The sequence below is a fragment of the Homo sapiens genome, chromosome 21 (genome assembly GCF_000001405.40).
Source record: "Homo sapiens chromosome 21, GRCh38.p14 Primary Assembly".
NCBI lineage: Eukaryota > Metazoa > Chordata > Mammalia > Primates > Hominidae > Homo > Homo sapiens.
This window is the reverse complement of record NC_000021.9, coordinates 21,288,715-21,306,720: the sequence shown is the minus strand read 5'-3', so window position 1 is coordinate 21,306,720 and position 18,006 is coordinate 21,288,715. Positions and strand designations below refer to the sequence as shown.

The window sequence follows — 18,006 nt, the reverse complement described above, 5'->3', positions numbered from 1 at the left end:
ATCTCTTAGAGTGTAACTGGATTGTTTGTAACTCAAAGGAAAAACACTTGAGGAGATAGATACCCCATTCTCATGTGAATGTGCTTCTTTCACATTGCATCCTTGTATCAGAAAATCTCATGTACCCCATAAATATATATGCCTACTATGTTCCCTCAAAATTAAAATATGTTAAAATTAAAAGAAAGGAAAAAAGATACACCATGTAATCCTTAATGCAAAAAATGCTGGGGTAGCTATATTGCTAACACTCAGGTATTGGAGCAAATATTATCCGGAATAAACAGAATCAATTCCTAATGAGAAAGACGTCAATTCATCAGGAGGACATCATGATTCTAAACTTTTATCTATATAATAAGAGAGCTTAAAATACATGGAGAATAAACTGACAGAACTGTGAAAAGAAATAGACAAATTCTTAATTTTATTAGAGTTTAAACAGCTATTTCTCAATAACTAATAGAGCAAGTAGGTTAAAAAGATACAGAAGACTTGATTAACATTACCAATTGACTGTAACCTAACTGATAATTACCAAAACATTAACCAACATCAACAAAATACACATTCTTTTTAAGTGCATCAGGAATATACTTGATCTAAATCATAGTATGTTCTCTGACCTCATTAGAATCAAATTAGAAATTCATGACAGAACTATCTCTGGAAAATCCACATATAATTGGAAGCTAAGTGCATACTTCTAAATGTTTCATGGGATAAATAATAAGTCAAAAGGGAAATTACAAAACATTTTAAAATGAATGGCAATGTATATGCAATATATCAAAACTTGTGAAATAAAGTTGAAGTAGACATATAGGGAATTATTCAGCACTAAATACATGCATTAGAAGACAAGAAAGATTTCAAATCAGTATTATCAGGTTTAACCTTGAGAAAACAGAAAAAAAGATCAATATACCTCCAAATAAGCCAGAAAGATAAAATAATAAAGATCAGATGGCACGCTGATAAAATAGGAAAAGGAAAAACAAATATAAAATCAAGAAAAACCAAAAGCTGTTTCTTTGAGAGATCAATATAACTAATAAAACTCTATCCAGTCTGATCAGAAAGGAGGCAGACAGAGAAAAATTCATTATTGATAAAAAAAACTCAGTAATTTAGGAAAAGGTCAGTTTCTCAACCTGATTTTAAAAATCCCTGAAAAGCCTATATCTAAAAACATTTGATATTAAAAGAATGAATGCCCTGTCTCCCAAAGTTTATGGACAAGGCCAAGTGTGTTCAATTGTATCATTTCTATTCACCAGGAGAGTCTGTCTACCCAGTATAATAAGCGAAAGTGGAAAAACATACAGATTGGAAAGGAATAAGTAAAAGTGTCTTTATTCATAGTGATATTATTATTTTTATTGTTATTATTATTATTATTTGAGACAAAGTCTTGCTCTATCGCCCAGGCTGGAGTGCATCGGTATAATCTTGGCTCACCGCAACCTCCACCTCCCGTGTTCAAGCAATTCTCATGCCTCAGCCTCCCGAGTATCTGGGATTACAGGTGCCCACCACCAAGCTCAGCTAATTTTTGTATTTTTAATAGAGACGGGATTACACCATGTTGACCAGGCTGGTCTTGAACTCCTGACCTCAGGTGATCCACCTGCCTTGGCCTTCCAAAGTGCTGGGATTACAGGCGTGAGCCACTGTGCCTGACCCACAGTGATATTATCATTTATGTAGAGAATTCTACGGAACCATAAGCTAATTATGAACTACTATAATAAATGAATTTAGTACATTTCAGAATATATTATCTATCTTTATATATGATGCTACAATTAACAATTAAAATGTGGTTTATAATAGCATCAAAATATATGGAATAATTAGAGATAAATCTGCCAAAAGATGAGTTAGGACTGTATAAAAAACACTTAAGAACACTGCTGAGAGAAATTAAAGAGACCTGAATATACAGAGATTTTCTGTTTCTGGAACAGAAGGATCAATAATGTCAAGAAGACAATTATTCTCAAAGTGATCTATAGCTTCAACACAATTCTAATCAAAGTTATGGTAGTGGATGTGTATGTGTGTGTTAGTGCATATGTATATGTAAAAATTGAAAGCTTGATTCTAAAATTAATATGGAAATGAACAGAACCTAGAGTATTTTATTCTATATTAAAACTACTTTGAAAAGATGAACAAAGTTGGAGGACTTATAATACATTATTCTAACTTATCATAACGGCTTTTGTTGGTGTAAAGGGACAAATAAATAGATCAATGGAACAGAATAGATTCCCTAAAACACATATATTAAAATATATTTTAAATAATGAAAAGGCAATTCTGTTGCTAAAGTACGGTGTTTTTAGCCAATGATGAAAAATCGGACATTCACATGCCAAAAAAAAAATACAACAAACCAAACAAAACCTTTCGCCAATTTGTCACAATATCGTAAGAAATTAAGAAAAAATTATCATAAATCTAAACTTAAAAACAACAACTACAAAACTTCTAGAAAGAAGAATTGGGGAAAATCTTAGTATTAACATATTTGTTTTACACAATACATTCGTAGATTTGAAACAATAAGCATGATTCATATGAAAAAAGAAAAATTAAACCTCATCAACATCTTTCACCCACTGAAAGGCAGTGGTTAAAAAATAGAAAAACAAGCCACAGATTGGATAAAAATATTTCTAAATCACATATTTGGTAAGTGGATTACATTCCAAATACATAAAGAATTCAGTAAACTCAATAATAAGAAAACAGCCCAGTTAAAACTACGTTAAATATTTGAAAAGACATTTTACCAAAAATGATCAATGCTGAGTTGTATATGAGAAGATGTTTAACATCCTGAGGCATTAGGGAAATGCAAATTAAATCCACAACATGAAACCACTAAACATGTATTAGGATGTCTAAACATAAAGTCCTGAGTATGTCAAGTTTTGGTGAGGATGTGGAGCAAGTGAAATACCCGAAATACCCGTACACTGCTTTGGGGAAGGTAAAATAGTACAATCACTTTGGAAAACTTTTAGGAAGTGTTTTTTAAAAGTGATAAACATACACTTGGCATGTGATCCAGCCATTACCTCTCACAGGTATTTAACCAAGAGATATAAAAACATGCCCATACCAAGATAATATATAAATATGTATATATTTGTAAGCCAAAAATCTGAAACTTCCCAAAAGCCATTTTGGTGAATGGGTAAGAAAATTGTGAAATCTTCTTAAAATTGAATACTAATAGCAATAAAAAGAGATGACATATTATGGCATGGGATAACATAAATGAATCTCAAAATAATTTTTGAGTGAAAAAAGGGTAAGAATCCACTTAAAAGAAAATACATATTGCACGGTTATATGACATTTTTAGAAATTATTATGGATAATAGATACATTCACTATAGTCACTATCTTTTTTAGCATTTCATAAAGTTTACTATGTTTTCATTTCCACTTCTGACTTCTTTTTAAAGCTTTATATTCTTTTTTTTTTCAACTTTAGATACAGGGGTACATGTGCAGGTTTGTCACATGGGCACATTACACCCAAGCAGTTTGCATAGTACCCAAAAGGTCGTTCTTCAGCCCACGCCTCCCTTTCTCCCTCCCTGCTCTAGTATTCTGCAGTGTCTATGGTTCCCATGCGGAGGTTCATGTGTGTTCAAGGATTAGCCCTTACTTGCAAGTGAAAATATGTGGTATTGGTTTTCAGTTCTTGCACTAGATCACTTACGATTATGGTCTCCAGCTTCATCCATGTCACTGCAAAGGACATGACTTCATTCTTTTTATGGCTGCATAGTATTTCATGTTGCATATGTAATACATTTTATTTATCCAATCCAATATTGATGGGAATCTAGGTTGATTCCATGTGTGTACTATTGTGAATAGTGCAGTGATGAACATACACGTCTCTATGCCTTTTTGGTATAATGATCTATATTCCTTTGGGTATATACCCAGTAAAGAGATTGCTGGGTTGAATAGTATATCTGTTTTAAGTTTCTTAAGAAGTCTCCAAACTGCTTTCCACAGTGGCTGAACTGACTTACATTTCCAACAATAGTTATATACATTCCCTTTTCTCTGCAGCCTTCAACATCTGTTGCTTTTTTGACTTTTTAATAATAGCCTTCTGAGTGGTGTGAGACAGTATCTCATTGTGGTTTTGATTTGCATCTATCTGATGATTAGTGATGATAAGCATAACCAAAACAATGTGGTACTGGTACAGAAAAAACAGACACATAGTTCAATGGAACAGAATAGAAAAATCATACACTTAGAATCATTTCAGCTTCAACAAGGCCAAAAAAACAAGCACTGGGGAAAGAACTCCCTATTCATTAAATAGTGCTGGGATAACTGGCTGGTCATACGCAGAAGATTGAAACTGGACCCTTACCTTTCATCAGATACAAAAATTAACTCAAGATGGTTTAAAGATTCAAATAAAAGACCCCAAACTTAATCCAGTCTATCATTGTTGGACATTTGGGTTGGTTCCAAGTCTTTGCTATTGTGAATAATGCCGCAATAAACATACGTGTGCATGTGTCTTTATAGCAGCATGATTTATAGTCCTTTGGGTATATACCCACTAATGGGATGGCTGGGTCAAATGGTATTTCTAGTTCTAGATCCCTGAGGAATCGCCACACTGACTTCCACAATGGTTGAACTAGTTTACAGTCCCACCAACAGTGTAAAAGTGTTCCTATTTCTCCACATCCTCTCCAGCACCTGTTGTTTCCTGACTTTTTAATGATTGCCATTCTAACTGGTGTGAGATGATATCTCATAGTGGTTTTGATTTGCATTTCTCTGATGGCCAGTGATGATGAGCATTTTTTCATGTATTTTTTGGCTGCATAAATGTCTTCTTTTGAGAAGTGTCTGTTCATGTCCTTCGCCCACTTTTTGATGGGGTTGTTTGTTTTTTTCTTGTAAATTTGTTACACCATGGAATACTATGCAGCCATAAAAAATGATGAGTTCATGTCCTTTGTAGGGACATGGATGAAATTGGAAACCATCATTCTCAGTAAACTATCGCAAGAACAAAAAACCAAACACCGCATATTCTCACTCATAGGTGGGAATTGAACAATGAGATCACATGGACACAGGAAGGGGAATATCACACTCTGGGGACTGTGGTGGGGTGGGGGGAGGGGGGAGGGATAGCATTGGGAGATATACCTAATGCTAGATGACGAGTTAGTGGGTGCAGCGCACCAGCATGGCACATGTATACATATGTAACTAACCTGCACAATGTGCACATGTACCCTAAAACTTAAAGTATAATTAAAAAAAAAAAATAGAAAAAAAAAAAGACCCCAAACTATAAAAATCCTAAAAGAAAACCTAAGAAATACCCTTCTAGACATCCAATTTCGCAAATAATTTTTGGCTGAGTCCCCAGAAACAACTGCAACAAAATAAAAACTGACAAGTTGGACCCAAATAAACTAAAGAGCTCTTGCACAGCAAAAGAAGCAATCAATAGAATAAACAGACAATTTACAGAATGGGAGGAAATATTCACAAAGTATGCCTCCAACAAAGATCTAATATCTAGAGCCTCTAAGGGACTTAAACAGATCATCAAGCAAAAAACAAACAATCCCATTTAAAGAAATGGGCAAAGGACACGAACAAATACTTCTCAAAAGAAGATATATTCACTATCCGTGGTGATTATTTTTCCGACACACAAACGCATATCTATATATACACATACATTAATAAATATATGTTGAAATTTTAAATCTATGCAGATTATTGTACATGACAAACTTAAAATACATGCAAGATATCTGGAAGTGCATTACTAGATTGATAGTTTGAGGAGGAAATGTTCTCAAGATAATAGTAAAATAACTTGGATTATATAATCTAAAGGGATAGAGAAAAAAACTAAGTAATAATTATGAAATAAAATATCTTTGTGATTGAGATAATCACATATTTGCACAAAATAATTAAAAATTAAAGAAATCTTTCCAGAAGTTATAGACCGCCTCCTGTATGCAAATCTCTACAGTATACCTTAAGGTTATAAAATATCACCTTTTTCCTTGAAGGATTAATGGTGTTATCTGTGAGATAATGTCACACATAAATGGATAATTTCAAGTCAGTGTGAAAGGTACATTGTAAAGAGGCTGTGGAATGGAGTTGGTTTCTGGATCAGCTGGAAAAGTTCTATCAATATCTTCAAAGATACGTGGATGACTTTTGGCCAAGGTAAGGACATTGGAATTTATGATGGACCAGAAAGTTTCCTGGCAACCTCCAAAGTCATTTTCTGCACTGATAGTTTGGACTCAACCTAAACAATTTGTGAAGCTTGGCTAAATTACTTAAAGAACTCTACCTGAGAGTCTCTTTGAGGTGCCTCATTTGGATCTTCGTGGTTCAAGGTGAACATACACATCATCTTGTTTGCAAATAGGGCCCCTGGAAATCTTGTGCAGGGGATTGTCTCTCACAGGTCTGACACTTTGCATTCTTTTTCTGGCTGCACCATATCCTTTTTTTTAAGAATAGGGCATTTACATGACTATACAGTCAGCCCTCTGTATCCCCAGGTTCTGCATCTGAGGACTCAACGAAGCAGGGATCAAAAATATTTTTAAAAATCATTTAAAATACCAATACAGCAATAAAAATAGAACAATTTTTTTAAAATACAGTGTAACACTATTTACACAGCATCTACAATGTATTAAGTATTATAACTAATCTAGAGCTGATTTAAAGTATATGGGAAGAATGTGTGTAGGCTATATGCAAATACTATGCCTTTTTACATAAAGGGACTTGAGCATTCATGGATTTGGTATCCCATGGATGTTGGTCCTACAACCAACTTCCCATAGATACCAAGGAACAACTGTACTTTGTGAAGCCTGCTGAGTCCTTTCAAATACTTAAGCGTTGAAAAGTTTACAGAGTGGACCTAGTACTATGAGATCTCATGGGAAGAAATCTTGCAATAAGGCAGGTCATATTTAGAATTGCTTTCTAGTTCTAGAAATGATGCTTGGACTAAGTTTTATAAGACAAATAGCAATCAGTCTGGCTAAAAAGGGAGGGAGGGAGGGAAGGAGGGAAGGAGAGAAAGAGAGAGAGAGAGAGAATCACATTTTAGACGGAGATTGTGAAATCTCATCCTAGAGAAATTAAGCATATCTGCATAAAAAGAAAAACAAACTATGCTTAAGAAGATGATGTAGCACATGGAACTAGTTTTACTTATAACTGAGTGGTTATTTCATTTTTATGTAACGTGAGTTGAATTCTCTCTGCTTTATTACTTTCACCATCAGAAACAGACATTCTCCGAATACCTATGCTTTTATTAAAAGCCATAGGATATGACACAAGCAAAAAAAAAAAAGGCAAGAGATAGTGGTGATACTGGTCATTCGTGAATTTCAGTGTGAATAAAATACTGATATGGTTTCATAGGTTATCCTCTAGTGCAGCACATTTTGAGGAACAGGACCCATGAATGTCTCTCCAAAGTTATTTAGACATTAATTTTCCTGAATGCCATTCATCTCCACAATGTCAGATGGCATCTTGATGGTGACTTTTATTTTACTGATTGATTCTATGAAATGATAAAAATTTGCATTATTGCAGTATCTTGTGATCCCTATAGATTTCTATAAGTTGTGGTTTCACAAATGATAGGATTCACTTCTGTACTCATCAAATAAATTTTAGAGAACAACATACAAAGGTCAGCCCCTAATCAACAAGCAGAAGACTGTTACACTTGAAACAGATAAATTCAGAATGGGAATCCAATTCAAACAATGAGAAAATTCTGCCATATATTTAATCAGGGATTAAAAGTACAATGTTGAAAAATCAATACATGCTTTTCTACAGCTTTTCAAATATGATATTATGACACTAAGTGTACTTAGAAAATCTGAGTAAAAGAGAAATAGAGACTTAAGGAAAAGAACTGTATTAAATACTCAAATCAATTACTTATATGGAAGAGAAAAGCAAAGAAAGATGTGCCTAGATCTGTGCAGATTATCTCTATCTATCATCTATCTATCTATCTATCTATCTATCTATCTATCTATCTATCTGTATCTATCATTTCTCTAGTTTATATAAACTAAAAATTTCTGAAGTAACAGTTATATAAGAGATAAGGAGAAAAAGATATACTTTTCTTTTCTTGTGTTCCCAGATTGCCTATTCTTGAAATTTAATAAAATCATTAGGGATACACAATTAATAAAACTATAAAATACTCTGGTTTGGGTAAATATTTATTGATTTGGGTAAATTTATATATTGTATATTATATAACATTGTTACAAACTACAAATTCCCTCATAATTTGCACTCATTAAACTGACTTAAAATAGCTGTCTGCATGGTTGATTCAATTACATGATTCAACTACAAGAGACAAATTCACTCTTTCATACTTGTATATGCTTTACATTCTAAAACACTGCATACAACTTAAAGAGAAAATTTTGACTTAACTTTTCATTTTTTATAAATAGAAAAGTTTTTTTGCCTCATTTTCATGACTTCAAGAAATTGCAAGAAATAGGTAGGAATACAAAAATTACTGCCTGGGGGTTACTGAGATAACAAAGTGCACTATACATTCAGACACTCATTTGTACGGACATCTCTGGCCATTATCACCCACTGTTGATTTTACTGTTCAAAGATCGACTAAAGAAACAATTGCTTTACAATTGCATTACTAGGTGTTTTTTATCCAATCTCAATTGTTCCTGCCTCCATTACCCCAATTTGAACCTGCAGTTAGTGAATCACTCTTTACAAATTTACAAAATATTCATAAAATAATAAATCACTATACGTTAGAAGAACATTTTATAAAATGAACACTCTACTGACTGTATTTTAAGTTTAAAAGTTATTTCCAGGTCTTTCATCTATATGAGCCTTTTTTTTTGAGTAGTACAGTGTGTATTATTTAACTAAAGCCTAGGAATCAGATGGTGGGAGAATATATGTGGGTTAAAGTAAGAGAGACAATATTAATCCTCTTTTAGAAAAGCGTATCCATGATGTGTAAGTGGGCATGTTTGTGTATATGTATAGCACAATTATCTAGTTAAAAGAATATGAATTTATGGAAAAGGTAGCCAATCAATTCAGTCAATGTCTCTGTTAATCTGTTTTTAAAAGATTTCACATAGTATGTCAGAGTGAAACAAGGTATGATGATATGAGGAAAGCATTTACTCAGAGGTTCATGAACAGAAAGGTTTTAGGCAGGTTGGAGAGCTTACCTGAAGATCCAATAAAAAGTTTAATATAAGCAAGTAAAATTTTTTTATGACTATCAAGATTATATCAATGTTTGTTCGGTGAGGGCAACCAGCTAACTGAAAATAGAATACTGAAGTCATGTAGCAGGATTTCTCTCAAATTATTGACCAAATCTACCTATGAATTTATGCACGTCCTTACTCATTTTTTAACTCATTTCCTCCAGGCTCAATATAAAATATATTCTCCTTATGTTCAAGGTAATATTCCTTAATATTGTCCTAAAGCCTCAACAACATCCTATAGTCATTAACTCAACTTTGTGATGTTCCCCATTTAATAGCTAAGTCCAAAAACCTTAGGTAGCAGGTCTTTAACTTTTTTTTAGCTTTCATCCTTTAAAAAATATATGTGTACCTTTATGCTTCAAGTCCTTGTAATCTGAATTTAACACAGAGAACATAAGCAGTATCATCTACCATAATGTCTCTTGCAACCTCATAATCTCTAAATTCAGCACACTTATTTTTGTGCACACTGTATTGGTCATTTTTGCTTGCATGGATAACTGGAAGCCCTAAAACCCACACTAGAAGTCTTAAAATTACCCTTGATTCCTCTTGCCTCTGTGACACAGGTATAACATGATGATTTTGCTTTGAAATCTAGTTTTATTGTACGCCTTCCTCTTCATTTCCTTGCCCTTTAGTAAAGGCCCCAATTATCTCTCACATGAACTCACTTTTTCTCCCTGCCAATATCCTTGTGTCAACTCCCTTGCTCTCTGGATTACTTGCTTCTCAATGGCAGCTCTTCCTTGTCCCATAAATCAGGTTTTTAATAAAGCATCGATGGTCATCCATGATTGACTGCTACCTGCTTTTCAGCTGCACCTCCACCTAATCTCCAAACCAACCAACACACCATTGTTCTTATTCCTGTCAAAAAACAGTATATTTCAATCACAGTTAGGTGCTTGGATTTTTTCACAACTTATGCTCTTGTTTGTTTTACAAGTGTTGGTCTTTCTGTCTGCAACATATTATTGCCCTATTCTCCTAAATAACAGTTTTCCTTCATTATATTTATCTTTAATACCAAGGTACTCTCCTGTCTTCAGCTGCATTGGGTTTCCATTCTCAAAAAATAGTCTGTGAATATCTAGGAAAACTGCATTTGTTAAATGCTTTTGAATCCAGCTACCCCATAAACAATAAAGGACTTTAGTAAAGTTGATTCTTACAGATTGTTGAGCTACAACTCTAAGTGTCTAAAGGGAAATGATGCTGTGTTAGGCCTTTTAGTAGTCCAAGCACAATATAGTGTAAAACATATAGCCAGCACTTTGTATATACCTGTTGAATAAATATATGAAAACAATATAAAATAATTTTGAAATGACAGTAAAAACTCTTCAGCTAAATTTTCAATACCTCAATAAGGTGACAAAAATTTGTCATAAATGATCACCATCAGGGAAAGTGAAAAGGGACACCAAGGTAAGTAATTTCAAAAGTACACCTAGGTCAGATGGTGCTTAAATTGATTGTTTAAAGACAGAGAGAGAGAGAGAGAGAGAAACAGACAAAAGCACTAGTTTTGCATTTGTCTGTTTTTGTGTGTGTGTGTATGATAACAACTTTAAAATCTCAGTGCTTAAAAATATACTTTATTTTGTACTCATGTTATGTTGTCTGCACTTGCAGATCAACTGTAATCTGCTCCTCCTGTGTTCATCAAGGTGCCCAGGATGAAGGGTAAGTCCCTATTTGGGTCATGCTCTTTTCATGGCGGAAGGAAAAAAACAAGAGAAAAAGAGAAAATATGTGATGTTTTCTTGAAGTTTGATTTCAGTCATGGTGTGTATTTTGTTTGCTTCTAAGTCACTGGCTAGAGCAAGTCACATGATCGACTGGGTGAAGATGCATAATCCTTCCTTTGGAGGCGCCATACTTCACATATCAAAGGCATTGGTGTATAATCTTCTTCAAGGGAGGGGAAGAATATTTGTGAAAAACAATACCCAGGCATTGAAAAACACATTAAGAAAGTCACAGAGGGAGGTAAGAAAAAATAAAGGAAGTAATAAGATCCTAAACATGTATTATTGCTGGTACTACAGAGGAAGCCAGCAAGGATATCTTTCAACTAATTGGTGAACAAAAGAGTATGAATTGGTAGGATAGAAATGTGATGGAAAAGTTTTGCAAGAACAAAACGTAGAATAAAGGGCAGGTCCTCCTACAAGGCCAAGATTTGACAAGGAAGCGCTGCATGTGAAAAAACATTTGACTGGGGCATTTGGGTAGGACTTCGGTATACTTGAGGTGGAAGAAGATGAATGAAAGAGGACCAGAATAAATGTCAAATTGGTAAAGATAAAAATTAGTAGCAATTAAGTGAGAGGGCTGGGAATGTAAACTGAGAGGAACAGAATAGGGCAGCAGTCAAAGTCAAAGTAATTAAAGATCAAATAATATGAATAAAAGTAGCACTTTTATTTTATTGGTATTATTTTTTGCAGCCTCAAAATTTTCACTGAAACATCTTTAAGCAGTTTTATAAAAGAGGCATAATAAGGGAAAACTTTCAAAAAAAAAAACCTCGATATTTAAAAGGAGCCAGTAAGCAGGGTGAAAGTCAATAAGACTGGAGTAAAATGATTTTTCTGTCTTAAGGCAAAATGTGAGAGAAAAGCACAGGCGTCTGATGGCATTAGTCAATGCATTCTCTCAGCAGTGTCCAACTGCATCCTCCAGACGGAAATCAATTGATACCTGATTTTATGAACACTGTTATTTAAAATAAAAGAGATTCCAGGAATTTTAAGCTACGCGAGTTTGTGATCCTAAAGGGAAAAATGAGACTAATTATCAATGTCCGAGCAAAGATGTTCATATTAGAATCTATGGTTGATTCTGTTAGAGGAAAGTGGGAGACAGAGGAGAAGAATTTACTTTTGGGAGGGTCCAACTGATACAGACAAAACAGGAATTATTTGCATGATTGATCAGAAATGGCACATAAAAACATATTCCTATATTTGTCTCCTTATACATCCTGAAATAAATAAGTATAGAAATATAAAACTAAATATTCCAGTTGAAATGCAGACCATGATGGGCATGAAGATTCACACTTTATTAAAAGAATATTCATACCTGAATAATCATTTCTTTAAAATGAATGTAATCATAATAATCACAGATAATCTAGTAGGGAAAAAGATTACAACATGCTATAAATATATTAAAGAAAATATTAGGTTGGTGCAAAAATAATTGCGGTGTCTGTCATTAAAAGTAATGATAAACACCACAATTACTTTTGCACCAACCACATATTAAAGTAGAAACTACAATAGCAGAATGAATAACAAAGGGTTACTATGCCTGCTGGATAAATTTCATTTTAATATCAAACTTGAATTAATATTTTAGTGTAATTATATGTATATATAATAACAATAATAGGAAATACTTATATACTGTTTCCTATAAACTTAACCAATTTTAAAGAATTTTACATATATTAATTTTTATTATAATTCCCTTTTTCATAAGTACGTACTTAACACAAAGACTGCTCATGATGAAATACACTTACATATTTCATCATAAATCTTTTTGGATACAAAGTATGGTAGACAATTCAATAATTAACAAACTAAATAGCCACTATATATTTATTACCCTTGTTTATTGTATACAATAAAGAGAAAGAGTTACATATTGATATAGATAAAGGTTAGATACAGACATCTCCCTATTTAAACCTATCCTTTATGCACTGAAATCTTCCTCCCGCACTGAAGGTTAACTACTCCACTGATTATGGCACCCTTAATAAATATCGGACTCTGTACTTCTAGAAAGACCATTGAAAAATACTAGATCTCCTCTAAGGACCCAGTTTCCCTATGACTGACATCTAATGGCAGAATGCTTAGGGAAGGGGTGGATCATAATGGGTTTTCTATGCCATGAAAAGTCGTTTTGATTTTGTCTTGACAGTAGTGAGAAACACTGAAGAATTATTACAGTTGAAAGTCTTGGTGGAGAGAAAGGTAGAATTGTGAGATTAAGTGTAGAGAAACCAAGTTGTATGAATTCAAGAAAAAAAAAAATTAGATCACCACTCTCATGGAAAACAACATGATAGAGAAAATAGAGTATGTTTGAGAGATGTTAAAATATACAATGGATATGTCTTCATAACAGATTAGACTGCCAAAATGGAGATGAAATTGTTCAACAAAATCTGTGTCTTCAACAAAATTTCATCCCATGTTGTATTAATAATTCCCAGGTATCCCAGGGAAGGAACTGGTGGGAGGTGACTGGATCATGGAGGCGGTTTTCCCCATGCTCTTCTTGTGACAGCGAGGGAGTTCTCATGAGAGCTGATGGTTTTAAGTGTGGCATTTCTTCACTCTTTCTCACGCACTCTTGCCTGCTGTCATGTAAGACATGCCTTTGCTTCTCCTCTGCCTTCTGCCATGATTGTGTCTTGAGGCCTCCCCAGTCACTTGGAACTGTGAGTCAATTAAATCTCCTTTCTTTATAAATTACTCAGTCTCGAGTATTCTTTATAGCAGTGTGAAAATGGGCTAGTACAGGAGACAGCCAAGATAACTGTAATGTATTTTCCAGCTCCATAGAATATCATGTTAACACAGGAAGGAACTATATAGGAGAAGCAACTTTGGAGGAAGAGATTTCATCATGATTTCATAAAACCAGTCACTAATGTCCATTAATACTTGTAAATATAACCTTAAAAATTTAATTATTAAATTTGAGAAACATGTAGAGTAAAATATGTAAATTTAAGCAAAAATAATTCATGTAATTTAAAAGTAACATTTAGTATGATACTGTACTATGTTTATTTGATATTCTTTCAACAACTACAATTCCAGCAAAAGGCAATTACTCACATATAGCCTATTTGAAAAGGGTTATGAGAATGACAATGTAACATAAGTCATGGATCCTGCCTTGAGGCTGTAATACAATGTTACAGATGCCATAATAAAGATGGAAAGATTTCTTCCTGGTATAGAAGAGGTTTATTAGATAAGACTTGTATTTTGAGTTCACATGGTTGCCATTTAATAAAAAACATTGCTAAAATGAATCCATAAAACATGTACAAATTATTTACTGCTTACCATTAACAATAACAATGATATCACGGAAGTCAATTTCTCCCCTGGCCTCCACTCTTCCTTCACATCTGTATATACCTTCATCACTTTTATTGATGTTGAGAATCTGCAGGTTATTGTTTGCTAACATAGCGAACCGATCTGGAAAGAAAGCAAAGGGGAGAAAATGGTATCAGTAATTGAAGGCTAAGTCCAGAGTGCTCTAAATTGTTAAGAGTTAAAATATGGCACTGTCTGACACTATCAAGCTTTTCATCAGCAAACAAATTCAAATTTGAAAGTAAAATGTAATTTCATGACTTCAATTTTTCCACTCTACACTGCTTTGTTACACCTTTTTTTTTTTCCTAAAAGAATAAAATAAAATACATTCAAGACTTTATATCCACATAAAATGGTTAGGCTATTATTTCCCCTTGGTACTTTGGATGCAGAAATGATACACAAAAGAACAATGCAGAGAGATTAGGTATCACAGATGTGCAAACTTTTGACTGCAAATATGCGGCAACATGGGTGGAAAAGGGCTAGAAAATTTATTGAACATCCTTCTTCATACAATAATTAAACAAAAAATTTTGCGTCTCTGTGGAGGCAACTAAATGATATAATAATATTCAAGTCATATAAAGGATATAAAAAAGATTATATCTCAAATTTATTCAAGGGATTTTTTTGGCTAATAAGATAATCTGTATTAGGAATAAATAGATTAGATTTTGTTATTTTATTTCAAGATTCCATTTGTGTGTGTGTGTGTGTGTGCACATGCATATATAAAAAAATAAGCTGGTATACAGCCTGCATTCACTGATTGTGTAAAGTAATCTGCTACAGTAATCTGTGACACCTAAGCAGCATCTCAGCCTGGCATTATTTTTTGTGTCTGCCCTGATTTTATAAGCATCTCAATCTTGCTGCCATGCTAAAACCTTTTCTCTCCTTATCATTCAAAGAATGCTTTTACATATAGTCCAATTTTGAAACTCTTTGTACAGGCAATATCTAAAATTTCCTTAATTAACACATCCATAGATCTCATTGACTATTATCTGTTTGCTGGATACTGTATATAAGACACTTTGATGAATAAGAGACACCCCGCCTCTATCCCTTTGGGATTTTTGATCAGGTAGAAAGGTGATTATTTTAAGGTACCCAGCCTCTAACATATCTACAGTCTATTGTTTACCTTTGGGCCTGTTCCAATGTGTACTGCTTTTTTCCCTATCTGTGGCTTGATTATGAGGTTAGGAAAACCACTTGAAGCCACATGTGAAAAAGGCAGAGTCTCCATCAGCCTGATCGTGGAAAGGATATGGTAGGATCCTGCCTATACCTCTGCTGCCAACTGGACTTTGCATGAGTGAGCCATAAACTGCTAGGGTAGTAGGCCACTCCAATTTGGGGGCAAATTTGTCATAGCCGTTCCTTAATGAGAGGGGAGAAGTCGGGGCTAGAAATAACAAATAGAAGAGTCATCAGGGCATAGATACTCATTAAACGGACAAGCCTGTAGTTGCTTTTTGTTTAAGAGGTAACTAATCAGGGGTGAAAATGCACAGATTCAGAGGCTCCCCCAAAGTGAAAATAGTGATTCTAATGCTACGGCCACATGATTTGCAGCCCATGAGGTGTAAACTTTTCCATAATGCTCACTTTTTCCTTAGGTTGAACCTAAGAAGAGAGACAAAAATGTTTATTCAGATTCTTTCCCCTGGTAAATTAAAGCACAAACATGAAATGCCCTCATCAAAAGAAAGACTGGGGAGAAAGAAAACCAATCCACAAGAAATGTTAGAAGATAACTCATAAGTGGTCCTGAAATAACCAGAAACTCCTGAAACTTCATAAAGTTTCAAAGTCAATTAAAAATCCTCTCTTAAAGTGTGTGTTCAGAAATTTAGATGAGAGGCAATTATAAATAAATAAAATTTAAAATGAAGAGGAACACTATCATACTTAGATCATTGTATTACTGCATTTTCTAACTTTCTAAAATACCTATCATCCTTCACCTATAATGATTTTTACTGATTATATTTAATGTGAATTAGGAAAAATATATTTAAAATTTAGCTCAACATCTCCACCTGAAATTTATCACCTGGCATTCTCCAGTTCTGTCTTCACATGCCTTTACATGGAACTAGTTGCCAAAGGAATATTCCATAAGTGATGGAACTCCATGGAAGGCAAATTCCACGAGTCATTCTTGACATCTTCATCTCTCTGAGTCTGCAGACCCAATCAGACTCCATGTCTCATCACTTCTCTGTTTATCGTTATTTAATTTAAGTCTTCTTCTCCCTCAGCAATATTTCATTAGGACCTGAACTATTCTGAGTCTCAGGAGTTTTGCCTTGACTCCCATCTAATTTGTTGTTTTCACTGACATACAAATATTCTTCTCAACTGTATATTAGCTTATGTCACTGCATTGATTAAATCCCTTTAATGATGCCCCCTTTGAATAAATTACAAACTCCGTAGTAGCAGATATCAAGGCTGTGCTGACTTGGTTTGACCTCCTTCTTCAGCTTCCTTTCTTATTAGTCCTTTGTTTAAAAATCCTAGTTAGATTTACTCATTTGTAAAAGTATCTAAGTTGCACTTATTAATAAGTTCTAGTAATAATAAACTTATTCCAGTTTCAGAAATATGCTTTCATGCTGCTTTTCACCTCTGGGCCATTGCACATGGTCTTCCCTCTTCCTGAAAATTCCGCACCGACGTTTGCCTGGCTAATACGTGTGTATATTTAAAGGTAACTTTTTCCTCCTGGCAGGCATCTTTGACACTCTCTCTTATCCTACGTAGTTTACATTTATTTTATCATCCTTTATTACCACAATTTCGTTATCATAGACTCAATGTGTCTTGTTCTCACACTGATTTACCTATTTATCTTTCCCTCTAGATTCTTAGTATTTTGAAGGCAGTGAACTTATCTTGCTTACCATGAATCATAATCATCTGGTACACTACAGCATAGATCCTGTGTATTCCATAATTGTTGAATTAATCTTTTATACTAGAAGTAGGTTATATAAAAATTGTATTGAACAAGGTAATTTTAATCAGTTTTTTTAATGCAGAAGGAGTATATCAATTAGGTGTTGGCCAAAGCATTTAAAAAGTTTAAGAGAGAATTTCCAAACTGGCCAAGATTGAATGGATATCAGCAAATAGCATATCCCTCCATCACGATGACAGATATTCAACTTGTATAATAAAATGTCACCTTTACTCCCACAATGCTTGGATCCTTTAGCATACGGATCTCCTTTCTATGAGCAACATGGAAAATCTCCACTGCTTTTCTGCAGGAAGTTTAATTCTGAATATCTGCCACGCAGCTACAATCAAAAGCATAGCTAATAAGATGAGCATTTCCAAGCTTTCATTATTTCCTCTGGAATATCTATATTTTACTTTTGAATCAGATTATGGCAAAATAAATATATCTGGGTCCGTGGCATTATTCTAAATCCTCATACATAATTGTAATCTTGATCTTATTTCATCAG

General features: G+C 33.9%; 1 protein-coding gene across 17 annotated transcripts in view; it reads right to left on the bottom strand.

Moving 5' to 3' along the window:
- NCAM2 (neural cell adhesion molecule 2) overlaps positions 1-18,006 on the bottom strand; it is a 544,921-nt gene that overhangs the window by 236,609 nt on the left and 290,306 nt on the right. For 16 of the 17 annotated variants that reach the window (NM_001352592.2, NM_001352591.2, NM_004540.5 and 13 more), the window contains one exon: positions 14,480-14,617. In NM_001352592.2, coding sequence (NP_001339521.1) covers positions 14,480-14,617 — 138 coding nt within the window. Of the gene's footprint in view, positions 1-14,479; positions 14,618-16,569; positions 16,642-18,006 lie in introns of those variants that run through there. The other variant, XM_011529585.3, reaches the window with a different exon arrangement.